This window comes from Homo sapiens, chromosome 2 (genome assembly GCF_000001405.40).
Source record: "Homo sapiens chromosome 2, GRCh38.p14 Primary Assembly".
In the NCBI taxonomy this organism is placed as follows: Eukaryota; Metazoa; Chordata; class Mammalia; order Primates; family Hominidae; genus Homo; species Homo sapiens.
The window spans coordinates 124010153-124027709 of NC_000002.12; the positions used below are offsets into that span (position 1 = coordinate 124010153).

The window sequence follows — 17557 nt, forward strand, 5'->3', positions numbered from 1 at the left end:
GAAAAATCCCATCACTTAAGGACAAATGCTTACATATTTAATGTGTATATATTTTGCACAACTGTGCACATATACTGCATAGATCAGTTATGCTTTATTTTGATTTTCTTAATATAGAGAAGGATTTGTAACATCTTTGTAAATATTGTTAATGACTGTCATATTCTACTCTATCATGTCTTAATTTACTTAATCAAACTGCTATTTTTGAGCATTTGTCTGTCTTTAAAATTATTTTCATGTAAATACAACTTTGGCATGGATATGTTTCTAGTATATTTTCATTAGAATTGATCCTTGAAGTTGGTATTGCTGGGTCAAAGTTAAGTGACATTTTCAGGACTCCAAATACACATTGTGGGATTGCTTTTTAAAATGATCATACCATTTGAAATTTTCAACGGTGAACGACCGGCAGTAATCTCACTACAGCAAATGCTGAAATTGAGAGCAAATAAACCTGTTGTGTATTTAGCACTTCATTAACTGCTAGTATTTTTTAAAGGACTTACAGTACATTATTTCATTCAGGAAGCCCTGCAAAAAAAGGTGATGAAGTTATTTTTAGACTCTTCTTACAGATGGGGCATTTGAGGCCAATAGCAGGCAGATAAATTACCTAAGGACACTCAGTGGAGTTGCCAAGACTTCAGATCACATTTCTGAAACTTTCAGGCTGGTTATTTTCCCTCAGCCCCATTTGGCCCTGTCTGTATGAGGAATCCCTCTATCCACTATGCAAACAGATTCATCCTCCTCTATAGCACTAAGACAGGCCCATGACCTCCAGTTAGCTACCATGTTTTTCTGTCAAAGGCATTCATTGTGATGAAATCTACTAAATCCTTTTAGCATTATGTACAGGGCTATGCTAATATCAAATACCACTAAGAGCTGAAGTTGTCCTTTAAATTATTGAGCTAAATCCCTCATGTTATAGATGAAGGAAATTGAGGAAGCGACATGCAACATACTAGATCAGCAAGTAAAGCACTTCATGTTCACCACCGTTAGTAAATCTAGAGTGCACATGAAGGAGGCAAAGCTAAACCCACGTGTGTCTGGCACACAACAGAAAGCCAACCGTATTGGGTTTCTCATTTTTCTTCTCTTATATTCTGTCTTCCTTGGCCACGCATTGTTGCCGTGAGATTCTTCACCAGAAGCATGTGATGAAATCCCACTTCTACCTCTCAGTTCTCACAAGAGGTTATCTAATTTGTAAACTGATTTCATATCATTAACTGGTGGTAATTAGAATGTCAACATTGTAATTCATTTAGTCATCATCAGTGACTTTCTTTTGCTCTATGACCTTCATTGCTACATTTTTAAGTTATCTTTTTAAAGATGGATGTAATGGCACTAAATAAAAAAATTTTTAAAGAAAAATCCCACAATGCTTCTATACTAGCATATTTATTTAGGCATTTGTTTATTCTATTTTATTATCTTCCATGTACATATAGAACAGGTACATTTTTATTACATTTTGAATTCAGATTGTATGCTGTTTCCCTTAGCATGTCATACAATTTTTAAGTTTACATTTTATTTACAATTAGGAATGACAGCAGTTGTGTAAGATGTCATTGCACATACATACAAAATGTATTGGCCAAACTGTGATATTGAATAGAGGCTATTTATATTTTTTTTACCTTCCTCTTTCTTTCTTTCTTTCTTTCTTTCTTTCTTTCTTTCTTTCTTTCTTTCTTTCTTTCTTTCCATTCTTTCCTTCCTTCCTTCTTTCTTTCTCTCTTTTTGCTTTCTTTCTTCTTTTTCTTTCTCTCTCTTTCTTTTACTTTCTCTTTTCTTTCTTCTTTCTTCTTTCTCTTTCTTTCTTCTTTCTCTTTCTTTCTCTTTCTTTTACTCTTTCTCTTTTCTTTCTTCTTTATCTCTCTCTTTCTTTCTCTCTCTCTCTCTCGCCTTCCTTCCTTCCTTTCTTCCTTGACATGGAGTCTTGCTCTGTTGCCCAGGGTGGAGTGCCGTGGCTCACTGCAATCCCGGCTCACTGCAACCTCCACCTCCTTGGTTCAAGTGATCCTCGTGTCTCAGCCTCCCACATACCTGGATTACAGGTGCCTACCACCACACCCAGCTAATTTTTGTATTTTTAGTAGAGACGGGGTTTCACCATGTTGGCCAGGCTGGTCTCGAACTTCAAGCCTCAAGTGATTTGCCTACCTCAGATTCCCAAAGTTCTGGGATTACAAGCATAAGCCACCACATCCAGCCAATGTTTTTTTACTTTTAAAAACAAAATTGCAATGAATATCCTAGTGCACTTTTAAGATTCTATTGTTAACAAAACTTCCTTATGATAAACTCTATATTTAGAAAAATATCCCTATAATCACTTCACAAAAGTGACATAGGGTAACAAAGTATTAAAATTTTGGCAAATCTTGACATGCACGTAATAATTTCCTCCCCAGAAGACACTGATATTTCTACAGATTTTTAAACTAATTAATTGAACTTTCAAATAATAATTGTATGTATTTGTTGAGTACAAAGTGAGATTTTGCTGCAAAAGATCATATCATACTCCATAAGCATATCCAACTATTATGATACAGATATCTGAAGTTCTAGATTATAATTCATTCATTTTTTGTAGGTTTTAAAGTTGTGAGCTTTCTAGCAAAAGAAAGACAACTTATTCTTGTACCAATGAAACAAGCCCCTGTGCTGAGGTATGGTTTGGGGGAGATAGGACAGGATGTGGTTCATCTCCTTAGAACATTTTCAAGGGAGGAAGATGAGCCAACTTTGGCCTCATTTTTTTCAGGTCTGAATCGCAAAGTGAGAAAAGGTCAGACCAATCTGGAGCTTTAAGTTAGGTCAGAGCTACAGAGCCATCCCTGGTTCTGTGTTTCCCCACTCAGTGACTCTTCTGAGTCACTTCCCTAGTCTGGGAGTGACTTAGAAGAGAAAGCCACCCCAATCCACAGATTGCCCTAACCTCTCACATTTGGGACTGGAGGATACCTGATAAAGATGTAAATAAATGCTTTTATAAAACAACAGACATTCTCTTTTTAAAGATGCTAGAATCCAGAGAAAACCTCGAATCTTGCCAATTTGTTTACAATAACATGTATAGTCCATTATACTCCATAGTAGGTTTTGAAGGAGACTTTCCTGTGTATATGGTGACACTCAATATAATCCTTTAAGACGTCAATGCTCAGCCGATTTAGAACTCTTTAAGTGCATTAACTATTGTGAGGCTTTAGTAACAGCAGTGTTTAATCAGTTCTTTTGTTAAAGCATTTGTCCTAAGCCATTTCATGTCAAAAGAATGTTTTATCTAGTTGTAAGCTAAGTGGAAAGGTCTATACATTGATCTTTGGAGTTTAACATCTTTCCAAAGAAGTGACTTGATTTTTTGCAAATTCAGTCATATTTTCCCAGTCTTGCTACTTGGGTTGCTCCAGAAATTTAAGAAATTGGTCATGGGTGGAACTGCTTTGCTTGTAAGTCACTCCCTGAACTAGCCAAATATTGGGTCTTGCTCTCTTCTAGGCTACACTTACGCTTAAGTGTATTTGAAAGGGAGTAAACCAAAAATATGATGGCAAATAGTTAGAAGTTATGACACTTAAAAATATCATCATTTTTTTATTTCTATGCTTTAATAGTAATGTCTATATTCTTGTTTAAGCCTAAATATGAAAATGACCCCACTTCCGATTAACATTTTGTCTTCTGCACTCAATCCTTCCTTCTGACCCATGTAAAATATAGACAACATGGACACATTCACTAATTATTCTTCTCATTGAGTCCATAGGCTTCCCATACACACAACATTCATTCTAGTTCATTGGAAGGTTTCAATTTTCCCCAGCACATGGCACACAGATTCACAAATTTGGGCCTTTGCCTTCCCTGGAACTTCTTCCTTTGCTTCCATGCCAGATGAACTGTTATTCGTCAGCTCTGGATTCACCAAATCTTGTTGTTCTAGCTTAGTCATCTTGGTGCCTGCTTCACCATCCACATGTGGGAACATCATAAGGACAGGAAGCATGTATTGTTCATTTTCTAGCCAGAGAAACTGTATAAGTTGTTCTTGTTTGACTCTTCCTATCCACAGGCTAACCTCCACAGCAAAAGGTTTAGAACTACAACAATACAGAATCCTCGGGATTCTGTAATTCAGTATCAGCATCACAGACATCAATGGAAATTGCTCAAGGAGAAAGTAGGTGCAATGCCTTTGTCCATGTCCTCATGATCTACTGCTATACAGAAATAACTCAAGTGAACAGAAGAGGATGTGCCTGCATGCCATAATTGCAAGTCTTGCTAATAGTAGTCAACTAACCTCAATTCTTAAATCAGTCCAGGTGGAGAAATGTGATCTTCTGTGAATGAAACAGAAGTTACCAAAGTCTTTGATTTCCTTTTTGTTATAACACATTATTAAATGATGTTATCATCTTCCCACATTTGCCTCTAACCCATTTGATCTGGGAATGCTTTATTTTCTGTTTAATGGGAGAACAAATGTCAGTACAGAGTTATGCAAATGGTTCAAAAATGGTGAGCTGAAATCATTAAATTCCCCCATATAAAAAGTTTGATTAAAATTAAATTGGATACATGTTTTATTTATATATACTCTTTTCCCAAAATCTAATTGAATCCTATTCAATCCCATAAATCTGAAATTGCACACTGGTAATCCCTAGATTCATGCTGAATTTAGTTCTCATTTTTACCCAGTGAAAATCTGCTAGACAACCAGAGTATGGATTTTCAAATCAATTAATCAGATGTTCTGACAAACAAGAAAAAGGTGAAAATAACATTTTATATGTAATCCCAAGAGTATAGCCAAAAGATTTCTAAGAAACCAACTGAAGTTTCTCCATCCTCATTACTGCTATAAACAAATGCTTCCTGGGGATATACACAGGAGATGATTCTTTCCTAAACTAGAAATAATATCATACCAAAGAAAGAATGCTATTCATAGGAAGTGGGGATAGAGTCAGCAAGTTATAAATATAGAATTTCCTTGATAAATATTTGTCTGGTAAATTTAGCACTAAACTTTGAAATTCAGCACCTACAATTCTGATCTTCCTCCATCTCTAATCATTTAACAAAAATCAGAGCTACAACATTTTGCTTTTTTTCTAAAGTCTTCTTTAAATAAATAAGTGCTCCATCTTTTTCCCCTGATAAATTTTTATGGCTTTATTGTGCCTATTCTTTTTGGTTGTATTGACAAAAAATTGTCTTTACTGTGAGGCATTGCAGTTTAGTTTCTGAAACTTGCTATTAATTTTTTCAGAAAATACATCATCATTGTCCACTAGAAACAAGTTTCCAGACACATGTGAAACATGTAGAAAATGTGCACTGGTCACATTCTAAATATCTTGTTTCCCCAAGGGAGTGTGATTTTTTAGTTCGTTTGTTTGTTTTTATTTTTTTTAGAGACAAGTTCTCCCTCTGTCTTGAGGCTGAAGGGCAGTGGCGTGATCATAGCTAACTTCAACCTCGGGATCCTGTGCTCAAGTGATCCTCCCACCTCAGCCTCCAGAGTAGCTGGGACTACAGGTGTGTGCCACGTCACCTGGCTAATTATTTTTATTATTATTATTTTGTATAGACAAGGTCTTGCTATATTGCCCAGCCTGGTCTCAAACTCCTGGCTTCAAGTGATGCCCCCACCTCTGCTTCTCAAGGTGTTGTGATTACAGGCATGAGCTACCGTGCCCTGCCCATAATTATCATCAATAGAGACAATGACTATATGATCTTGCCACACTTACAAAGCTTTGCTATGAGAGAGGCAACAAAATATTCCCGACGAAGGCTTGCTGGGTGTTAAGGTGTCATATTTAGTGCCACCTAATTATCAGTAACAGTAACTATTTAATGAGTGCTGCAGGCACTAGGCATTGCATTTCATTTACCTCACCTCTGATTTTCACAACACTTTGTGATTTCCTGCCATCCCATTTTACAGATACAAATAATTTATATAATTTGCCTTCTATATCATATATGTCAAGTGAGGTGAAAAGCATGTGCCCAATACTCTGAATACGAAATCTCAAATCCATAAGTTTCTTTGAGTAAAGTGTTAGAAACACCTAAAGAAAAAACATACGTTGAATGGAGAAGCAACACATTATCTCACTGTAATTACTAACGCATCTATAAGAATTTGTTTATCTGATTAGAAATGACCTGACTGACTTTTGGAGCCAAACAACTATGAAATATAAAACCACTAGCCACTCCCCTCCTTAAAACAAACAAATTCTCCAATACCAGTTTCTTCTTCAACAATAAACACAATATCAAACCCTTCACACTTACATAGTCTGGCTCTTAGCTAAATCACCTATCCACTTGGTGGTCACAGTAATTCTGGTTGTCTTCCTTCTAGTCATTCTGTTTCCATCCTGAAGTCAACTAACCACACAAGCACACCATCCTCCTCCCGTCTCTCAGCCCACCACATAAGTCATTTTTTCTGGGAATCTTTCCTGACCCCAAGATGAGGTGGAGTCCTCTTTGAGGTGTGATCACATTCCTACTGCACTGGAGTTGTTCTCCTTGTCATGTAATGTAATTGTAATTAGTTGTGTTACAGGGACAAAACTTACTAAATCATGAGTTTTCATGAGCCTTCATAGTTGTTCTCCTTCTGTTTGTCCACTTTCTGTGCTTTCGTTGTGTTGATCCAGGTATTGGGCGAGTTGGAGACCTGGATAAACTGTAGAGATTTTTGGTCAGAGAGAGAGAGAGACAGAGAGACAGATTGATAAATATTAAGAAAATAGGAAAAAATGTTTAAAAAATGCTAAAAGTGGCCAGGCGCGGTGGCTCACGCCTGTAATCCCAACACTTTGGGAGACCAAGGCAGGCGGATCATGAGGTCAGGAAATCGAGACCATCCTGGCTAACACAATGAAACCCCGTCTGTACTAAAAATACAAAAAATTAGCCAGGCATGGTGGTGGGCGCCCGTAGTCCCAGCTACTCAGGAGGCTGAGGTAGGAGAACAGCATGAACCCAGGAGGTGGAGGTTACAGTGAGCCGAGATCGCGCCACTGCACTCCAGCCTGGGCAACAGAGCGAGACTCCATCTAGGAAAAAAAAAAAAAAAAAGAAAAGCTAAAAGTAAAATGACAACGGGAGTTCTTTATACTATTTTTGCAACTTTTCTGTAAGTTTGAAAATATGTCACAATACTAAAATATAAGTATTCACAAAAACATGCAGTGATACTGAGCTGTCAGAATTTTTTGGAAGGTAATAAAGACTGATCGATAATCACTAATCCTAAGATATCAGAGAAGTGATAAGCACTGCATGATATTTATTCTATATTTTTAAGGGAAGTGAGATGGGTAATAATTTGAAGTCTCAAATGCAACTTGGTGAGCAGAAATGGTTTCAACCCCCTGTAATAGGCATCACTAAATCTACATATACAGCCTGTATTTTCTAAGATTTCAGAGATAGTGTTGTTAGTCTTATCCCACAGTATCTGGCACATCAAAAGGTCTTGATAAAAATAAAAAATAATAATAATCCTGAATGGATGAATGAACCATCATGCCCCCTAATGTATAGTCCTTCTATACGTTGTATCCTATTCTAGTAGGATACACTTACTAGACTCTATCAGAGGTCAACAAACCTTTTCTGGGGAGTCAGATAGTAACTAATTTAGGCTTTGTAGGTCAGATCTTTTTTTTTTTTTTTTTTTTTTTTTCGGAGACAGTCTCATTCTATCACCTAGGCTGGAGTGCAGCGCTGCCATCTCGATCTAGGCTGACTGCAACCTCCACCTCCTGCAACCTCTGCCTCCCAGGTTCAAGCGATTCTCTGCAGATCACATAGATTCTGTGGTAACTTCTGAACTTCACAATTGTGGTGCAAAAGCAGCTGTAGATTAAATAACACAAACAAATTAGCATGGTAATGTTAAAAAAAACACACAATTTATGGTGGATTTGAATTTGAATTTGAATTTTATGTAATTTGCATGTGTCACAGATGTTATTCTTTTCTTGATTCTCTTCAACTATTAAAAAATGTAGTGATCATTCAAGCTTACGAACTTACAAAAGTAAGCAGCCGACCAGTTTGGGCTTGTAGGACAGGGTTTGCTGACTTCTTGAGTATGTCATGTTTTTCTTTTTTTCTTGTATACCAATCCTCTTTCTTAAATTGAATGAAGCTTGAGCACAGGTACGTGTACTCCTAGCATTTAGTTATACATTGCCAGATTTACAAAAAATCTTGTGCAAATTGAATCAATATATGCTCCACTTAAATGATATCATATAACTGACTCTTGAAAACCTCCCTATTTTAGCCATTTTTAATTAAAGATGTATTAGGTCATTTTATATATTACTTACCCTTTAAAATAAATTTTCCTTCATGCAAAAGGAAAAATAAAAGTATATTGACCGCACAGCAAGTTTCTCTGCTGTTTGAATGCCTTTTGTTTTCAGTGCTACATCATGATCTACTAATAATATGCACAGCCTAAGTCCAATTAAACTAGTATGTTTGCAGTGCCTCCAACAGGGCTAAAATCGAGAAGTTTTCCATTGAAAGAGGCAGGTGGCATATTTAAAAAATAACAGTAAAAATAAGATGACAATTTGTATTCAATATTTTGGGTTATAAATAATTATTATTCTAGGTCTTGTGTGATTTCTTAGTAGATGTAACATCAAAGATATAAACAACAATTTTAAAAACATCATCAGCAGATTTGTTTTTCTGTTTTTGATTTGTTTTTGTGCTTTGGTGCCTTCTCCTGCATCCTTTCCCCACTTTCCCACAAATAAACAAGAATTCAGCAGCCTTCAAAGTTTTTCACAGGGCTGCTTCAAATCTGCTCTACATTTTTTTCTTCCTACTAGTCAGCACACCCCCTGCTGGCTCTAGGCTAACATTCTTTCCACCTTATTAAAAATGCCAATAAAAAGCAAATTATAAATGTTTTTACTGTGCTTTGTGTGCTGATTTAAATTCAAAAGGGATAAAAGGACATAAATACTAGGGATTAGGTTATATAATAAGATAATCTTTTGAAATCAGCTCCTTCTTCTTCCAAATAATTTATTCCCTGAAAAATACATCCTTGGAAAATTTTGTAAAAGAGTTTTCCTAGTAGTGGCTATCACAGATCATATGTTTAGATGTCAGCTTGACTTAAAAATCAGATGTGCACCTAGGATAGAACAGATACCTGCTGTTCTTCATTAATTGCCTTTAAAAAACTGAGTAATAGCACATTGGCTGTGAAGCAAGCTATTCCCTGAGAGACAGAAACAAGGCCTTTGTAACACTAAAAATAATTTTTATAGAAGTCAAATTGTCAATCATATGTGGACTCAAATGATCAGATTAATTACACACACACATACACACATACTCTACAAACACACAGAAGATTTAGTACATTTATTTCATTTGTGAACACTTGTGGCACCGAGCAATGACGTGATAACCCAAAAATCTGGTATCAGAAAACACAGGTTCAGATCCTTGCACTTCTAAATAATAGCTTTGTGTTTTGGACAATGTTACTTAAATTTCAGGAGTCTTAAAAATATCTTTATATGCCAAATGTAGCTAATGATACTGACTTCAGAATTTTGCCATGAATTCTAAATGAAAAAACAAAGTCAAAATGCCTACTGCAGGTTGATATTTAATGAACACTGTTTCATTTTCTTCTAGAGAAATTAACAAGTAGTAGCTTAAAGGGTATAAATATTTATGGTTTTTGAGTAGAAATAATTTAATGTTGTGATAAAGATTCAGGAAATGTCCATCTTTTTTTTTTTTTCTCATCTTGTAGTCTTGGCCAACTCTTTAGGTTCCTAAATTGGCTATTGTCATTACAAACCTCATCCCCTCACAAGATATTGTACATGCTATGGGGAAAACTGCAGGAGCAATGACCTTTTTATTCCCACTCTTCTCCTTTTCACTAAGAAGATCTCTTTTTCCTCTTGAGTTTTTTTGGTCAGAACTGAGTCACACAGCAAGCACCAGATAATCACTCTGAAAGGGGTATGCAATTGCTATGGTAGGCTTACTCCAATTGTGATTTCTTTACCAGCCTGTTTTGGAACCAAGGAAAAAGTTGGAATTGGCTGTTGACCAGGACCTCAATGTCTGCCACTTGGATGGACTTGAAAGATACAGGATTAAATTGTTCCTCTCCTATAAGCACTTATTACTTGTGTTTGTACATGTCAACTTCCCAGCTAGAAATTGTGGAAAGTATAAAAAACTTCAGATAGGACCAGGTCATTGATGACATCTATTTGACCAAAAAAAAAAAAAAATTATACAAGGCTAGGCACATTAGTGTTGCTCAATAAGTTAATGTTGAGTTAATTAAATTATTGTGATTATTTTGAGAAAAAATCTTGCAGGTTTCCACTGGAATGAGTAATTTTTAGATGTTTGCACTTATTTTTTAGATGTTTGCACTTACTTGAACTGGCAAATAAAATGCATTAGAAATCCTGTGATTATGGACTGAATAAATTGTCTTCTCCAGGCTAGGACACAGCATTTACAACTTGTGTCCATATAACAAAAGTATTTTTAAATGTATGATTCCTTTGAATATGCACAAATACCAAAGCCAGGGATTATCATAATTCACAATTCACAGGAATGGAAATGGAATCTCAAAGAGACCAAGTTATATACTCCAGGCCTCGTAATAGTAAGCTGCAAACCAAGGCTAATACTTAGAATTTCCTATTTTAAGCTCTGAATTATTTTTATTTAATTATCCCAAACAAGTTTCTCCTGAAATGTTATATATATCAAAATGACTTCTTGGTGATTATAGGCAGGAGTTCTTTTAGAGAGAGACAGAAATAAATGAAAAAGAAAAACTATTTTTGACATATGTTTCTGGATGTGGCATGGCTAGATTTGTATCAATGCAATTATATAGATACTTTAGAGGGTAAATTCCTTCAGAGAAATGAATCTAAATATTGGAGAAATATGTGACTAGGAAAATAAACTATCAGGATATTAACCCTAAACTGCATTTTCAGTTTTTTTTTTTAATATAGTTGACATCTTGATTTTAAGGTAAATAAGGATAAATGTCCTTAAAGGAGCCTCTGCATTCTGGTGCAAGGAGTGGATTGGGGGATCGTTATAACCCCTGAAATAACCGACAAGGACTTTTTGTAGCTAACATTATCAGACATCAACTATTCCTTGAAAATCTACTATGTGTGCTGAAAACTCAAAGTTAAATATTCTTCAGGGAACTATTCTTGAGAAATTACTGAGTTCAGGAAACAGAGAATTGTTAGTGGAGTTTGGACTTGAACATTTGCCAGTGGGAATGAAAAGTCCAGGAAAAGAGGAAAGAGCAGTATATGCAAAGAGCACAGCATCTTACCAGCTGAAAAGCATGCACACCCGGCAAAGGCATCTAAGAGCAATGGCCGTTGTACTGGCAGGAGGCAGATGACAGAAGATAACTATTTTTGATAGAATAGGGGAGGGGGGGAACCTTCATTTTCTGTGCCCCTATGGGTTGGAGCCATTAATTCTGTGTGACATTTATCATGTCAATATCCATCTCCTCTTAGTATCCTATCCATAAAATGGAGATGACCAAACGTGCCTTCTATATGCCTCACAGGAGAATTATAAAATCAATGAGATGAACCACTTGTTGAATATTCCAATGCTAAGATTCCATTTGATGAATGATTCTTTCCCTTCTGTCCATAAGGAAGAATAGGTGGAAGTGCTCAAGGGAAAATCAAAGAAGCAATGAAATGCCATCCTACCCATTTCATTTCCTTTTTTAAGATTTCAAATATAAGTTTGTCTTGAGAAGATGGTCAGATTTATCATCTTGAAAATATAGACATTTTCCAGTTTCAAAATTGTCCATTTTTTCCCCATTTTCTGTTAGTATTCAACCTGCTCCATCCATGCAGAACTTTTAAGCCTCTTCAAAGCAGAGTGCTCTGCAAAAACGAGTTATTTTTCTATATGGAGAAACATGGGGGAGAAAAGGGAGTTTACTCAGCTTCTACTTCACCATTTGGAAAGTGGATTTATCAGACTAAAAGCTTTACAAAATAGTTTCAATAGGTAAATATCAATCTGGCTGAAAACAGTTTTTATAGTGATTAATATTCTACTGCTAATAAATACTTGCTGGCAAAATGCCCCCAGAAGATGGCATTGTTTACACTATTGTCTGAGAGGAACAGCTGTTTACCCCTCACTACATTCAGAGCTGCAGTATTCTTACTAAAATGTTAACAAATATTAGACAAATGTCTCACATTTAAGGCTCAACTTGCTCTGAGAACAGGTGTGTTTGAGGGAGAGGAAAAAAAAGCTACAACTATAAATAGGAGTTTAAATTAGGTGAAATTTATACACTGTGTCTGCATATAGACATATAAATGCAGAGTTTCAATATTTACTAATAACTTGAATACCATTCACAGTTCGAGGGCTTCATGGCAAAAAATTTCCTAATTGCCTGTTAATATCTATCTTAAGCACATTTTACTGGCACAGATAATTAATTTAAAGCCATTCTGCTGGAAGACAAAGCCAACATATTCTATAACTTTTGAAATGTTATATTAAACTAAGCATTTTTGGGGGGTGATGTATAGAAGGTGGAATTATATAGTGGAACATTAAACTCAGTGACAAAAGATCTGTGTTGTCTATCATATTCCTATTCATAAAGAGAGGGGTCTTGAAGTGTTGTTAGGGATGTGGAACTAGGGGAAATCTCACACACTGCTAGCGGGGGAGGAGACTTATAAATTGGTACCATCATTTTAAGAATAACAGAAAATACCTGGTAAAGCTGAAAACAAGCATTTCCTATGGTCCAGAAATTCTACTCTTCAGTATATGAGCAAGAAAAACTAAGAGGCAGGTACAAGATTGTACTTTTTTAAGGGAAAAATCAACAACCCTGGAAACAATCTGTAGATTCATACATAAAAGAATTAATGAATATATTTTGGCATATTTATGAAATGAAATACAATACAGTAGTTGTAATAAAATAACTAGGACTTTATGCAGCTGGATGCATACATTTCAAAATTATAATATTAAGTAAATTGCAAGGTGCAAAATGAAAGAACATGACACCGTTTATGTATTGGTTAAAGACAAAGCACTCTTACATATTGTTCAGGGAGATAAATACGTGTGGTAAAAGTTTAAAAACATTATGTATAGGAATGATATACACCAGATAAGTAAAGTGTTTACTTCTAGGTATGATGGCAGATGAATGGGATCAGAGAAGAATGCAAAAGGAGCTTAAGTTATATCTCTAATATTCTACTTTTAAAAATGTCTAAGTGTTTGCATACAATTACAACATACCAAGCTGTAATGGCTCAGTGTATTCCTCTAGATTTCTTAGTATGATTAATAGCCAGATAGATGTTTTTCACCATGGGATCCTCAAAGGCTAGGGGTTGGGTGGCAAATCCTGAGGACCCTAGGTAGAAGGAAAAAAGAAGCCCATGCAGCTCAACTTTGAACCCCAGCCCTCTCCTCTCTTCAGACCCCTTCCAGCTGCCAACAGGGCAGCTCCTTAGGTCACCTCAGCCTGGATATGTTGACATTCACCATCTTCTGGGTGTGGTCCTCCACTGCACCCTACCATGCACCCCAAGTAAAGCTCCAGCTGGGAAAGTCTTTCAGTTTGCTCAGGAATCTAGTGACTTACATAATTATCTTTAGTTAGAAGCTTAGAGAGAAGAGGATCATTTATGTATAAGTGATAGGACCCTCAGAATTCTTTCTTCTCTAATAAAATAATGAGGTCACTAATCCAGTTGTCATTCAACTGTCTCTTAATATTTCAATGATGTGAGTCTAGCTGTAACCAAAAAACACAAGGTTAACCTCAGGATTCATGCAGAAGCTGCTTGAAACCTAGTCCCATCTATAGTCGTGCAGCCAGGATTGTCAGGAGTCTGCAGTGTCAAATAAGGCAGTATAATTGCTTCTGTTGAAGGTAAGAGGAGGGTGGGGAGAGAGGAAGACATCAAATTCCTCTGAAGCAGGTAGAGTTCATCAACCCTAACTTAATTGTAAGCTTCAAATAGGATAAATCATTATGGTCCCTCATTTTGTTAAGGTTTGACAGCTTTCTGACAGCTTCCAATAAAAACAAAATAAGTTGATTTATGATAAAGCAGGAGAGTTTCCAGATATATACTAGAAGCCAAAAACAGAAACAAAATTTGTAAGCGGGGGTGTCTAGAAAGAAACCAAAATCATTCTTTCCCTTTTTCAAAATTCAAATCCCTCCAGCAGAGCCCTTATATTTTGGATTCTTACGAGCTAACCCGGGCTTCCACCCTGACTCTCATCACTACCACACCCATGTGTCTTTCCTCTCTCCGTCTCCCTGAGACGCCAGTGAACCACCTGGGCTTGGAATCCAGAGCCCCGGAACACCTTGCAGTACTTGCCCGAAGCAACGCGCCAACAGCGGGAGGGAGACGCAGACGCGAAGACCGGCGAGAGGATGTGCGGTGGGAGTAGCTGCGGGGTCTGCAAGCAGGGGAGCGCGCACAACGTTAAACCTTGAAACCAGAAATCCCGATCCTATCGAGACCCATCAGCTTTTCCCATTTGGGAACGAGCGCAGGGGAAATTAAATGCGTAATTCAAGCTCTGTTTTCCCCTCCCCTCCAAAGGTGAGGTGGGGGAACGCGTCTCGTTAGCTCATTACAAAGCTTTCCGTGGGAAATTCCCTCTTCCTAATGCGTCTGTCTTGCAACTCCTATTAGCATCCTTCGACAGCGGCCTTTGAAAATCTCCTTTAAATTTCAATACCTCTACTCGTTTCCCAAATGGGGGGAAGGGAAGAGAAAGCCGGGGGGTAGAGAGAATTTCCTTCCCCTTTCCCTCCCAGGTAGCCAAAGCGCACCGCAGCGGCTTGGCTTCCTGGAGGAAAAGCGCCCGAGCGGGGCAAAGACCCGCCCAGGCTGCTCTTATAGGCGAGCGCGGGGCGGGCCTGGCTGGGGGCGGTGCCGCGCGGCCCCGCTCGCCTATAAGGAGCTGTCCGCCACCCGGGTGCTGATTCCAGCTCTCGCGCCCGACGAGGTGGATTTGGCTGTCCACCGAGCTCCGGCGCCTGTCGTTCTAATTGGGTTTGGATTTGCACCGTTAAGGAGGGGGGAAGAGAAGGAAGAGGCGGGCGAGGAAGGCGAGTCCAGCTAGCGGCTGTTGCGGGGACCGTAGCCCCAGCTGCAGCTCCGAAGAATCCCCCGCCACGGTTTCGGTGGAGCGTCTGGGCACGGGATGGAGTGAAAGAGCGAGTGCCTCTCCAAGCGGGGGTGGGAGGGGGTCAGGCTGTGCAGAGGAGAGAGACAGCGAGAAGAAGCCGCGGCTGGCTACTGCGAATTTGGGATTCGATTGGGAGGGACCGCTCACTCGGGGGAAATGGATTCTTTACCACGGCTGACCAGCGTTTTGACTTTGCTGTTCTCTGGCTTGTGGCATTTAGGATTAACAGCGACAAACTGTGAGTACGAGGAGCTGGGGGCGGGAAGGTGAGGTGGAAAACGATCGCATTCAGAAAGACAATCAACTATCTAAGCGTACTCGATTGTGTCTGCTTTGGGCAAAGGAAACGGAAAAAAAATGCTGATCAGTGTGGTTCCATCACTCCAACCATCCCAAAAGTTAGTAGAGCTCAAATGAGCCAACCGTGCTGGATTTCCTCCCTTCTTCCGTTATCGCAAAGTTCAAGGGATAAGGAAAGGTTTCTCTTCCCTTAACCTCCTGCTAGCTCCGCGTTCCATGCCTGCCTGATCTCAGCCAGTGCTTTTTCCGGAGAAGGGCCCCTGGTTCAGACAGAATGCACTGGGAGCTGAGCTTCCTGGGATGGAGATGCTCCCAGCCACCGTGCTCGGTGACAGTGGCTCATCTCTGAATGCAGTGCCTCGGATTTGCAGTATACCAAGCACCCCACGATACGTGGCTCTGCGTTCTGCCCTAGGCAGAAGGCTCCAGTTGGGGTATCTTGCAACCAATGGGCACCGGTTTAACAGGATTGGGAGTTTTGGCCTAAGAGTCATGGACCAATGTTGTTAACCACAAGATCAATGGCTGCCCCTATTACAGGAGGAAGAGCTTTGATGCATACCCCACCCCAAAAATCTTTGTGCCTGTGAACACTAATGAGTATGCACTAAGTGTACACTCTGTCGTCCAAGCTCTAACCTCGGCAAGTGTAGGACATTTAATTTAATAGGCAAGAAGCCTGGGCTCCCGGGGATCCACCAACTGCACTATATATTTAAAGAATCCAGTCCGTCAAACTTGAATAAATCTCTGGAGCTATGAGAGGTTCAGGCTCAATTCCTCAGCTGCCTCTCTAGGCAGAGAAAGGGAAGTTTTTCCAGCTCTGGGACTTCCTAAATGAGAAAGAATGCAATTAAGCCATCTGTGTTGTTTCCAAAGATGGTTTATCAAGGTCCCTCAAGTTTCTGGGCTTGCTCCCATATCCCTTATCCCTGTCATGAAGCTCAGAAATATTACCCATATTGGAACAGTTTTACTTTTTAGTTTTTGTAATTTGCACTATCATGGTTGGTTAGAGAACAGTAGGAAGATTACTTACCACATAGGGACCTTTCTACCTCACTCTCCACCCAGTTAGGTCCTAGAGGACCCTGTGCATTTATCCCCGGAGTTATGTCTCAAGGGAAGACAATTGGACAAATGTGGTGTATAGAAAAATGTTCACAACTGAGCCAGTGTTTCTGTCTGTGGTCGGAAGTTTTGGAGGGCCAGCATCTATAGTTAGTCATAATGCCTTATACCGATTGTATTAAAGTTTGTGTTCTACAGGAAGGCTAAAGGGATCATCCTCTCTAAGGGAGTATCCAAAGGGCCCTGGTTTAGAAATTATTTCAGAGAATATGTAGGAGCCGTTGGAATCTGAGTTTTTTTCTTTTACTTCTTCATCTCATTCTCTTCCACCTCCTTCTTTTTCTTCTTCTGTGGAATTGTTCCCGTGGTGCTTTAGAAAAAGATCTAAGTGGTTAGTAAGAGGAGGTAAGGCACAGCGCTGGGCTATTTTTCTCCACCTTCTAGAACACTAGAGGTCAGTATTGTCCTAATGATACAAAGGCGTGGCAGCAAGCTAGCTGTGTTTTCCCTTCAGCACAGCTGCCTATCTGAGAAGAGTGAATACTTTGAAAAGCCACAAAGGTGGGGGTGAGAGATAAGGATAAAAAAGACAGAACATACTCCACACGCATATGGCTGTGGACTTTCTAATGCAACACCTTTTCTTAAGAGCCAATAAAACAAATATTTTAGAATAGCATTTTTTGTAAATTAATTGAATTATGGTTAATGTGTTTTAAAAATGCTCATAAAACCTAAATGACATGGATTTAAGACTCATGCTTATCATTACCGATGTAGTAATAAAGCTAATTCTGAACATTTAAAATGAAACTTTGTGATAATGAGCTTTAGTATTTTATCA

The 17557-nt window shown here is 38.4% G+C and overlaps 1 protein-coding gene and 1 long non-coding RNA gene across 4 annotated transcripts in view, besides 1 other annotated feature; one reads left to right on the forward strand and one right to left on the reverse strand.

Moving 5' to 3' along the window:
• Positions 1-1781: 1781 nt before the first annotated feature.
• On the reverse strand, positions 1782-15022 carry CNTNAP5-DT (CNTNAP5 divergent transcript). Its single transcript, NR_147976.1, has 3 exons — positions 14523-15022; positions 6639-6748; positions 1782-4376 (listed from the first exon to the last, which is right to left on the reverse strand). It is a non-coding gene; the product is annotated as a CNTNAP5 divergent transcript (long non-coding RNA).
• Positions 14960-15866: an enhancer, noted in NCBI's record as "H3K4me1 hESC enhancer chr2:124782689-124783595 (GRCh37/hg19 assembly coordinates)". NCBI's record gives its function as "activates a minimal SCP1, AML or CMV promoter by ChIP-STARR-seq in primed H9 embryonic stem cells {active_cell/tissue: H9 hESC(primed)}" and the evidence as "EXISTENCE:reporter gene assay evidence [ECO:0000049][PMID:30033119]".
• CNTNAP5 (contactin associated protein family member 5) overlaps positions 15135-17557 on the forward strand; it is an 895933-nt gene continuing 893510 nt past the window's right edge. For all 3 annotated transcript variants that reach the window (NM_001367498.1, XM_017003316.2, NM_130773.4), the window contains exon 1: positions 15135-15580. In NM_001367498.1, the coding sequence (NP_001354427.1) occupies positions 15499-15580 (82 nt within the window). In that variant the 5' untranslated portion in view covers positions 15135-15498. The remainder of the gene's footprint in view (positions 15581-17557) is intronic.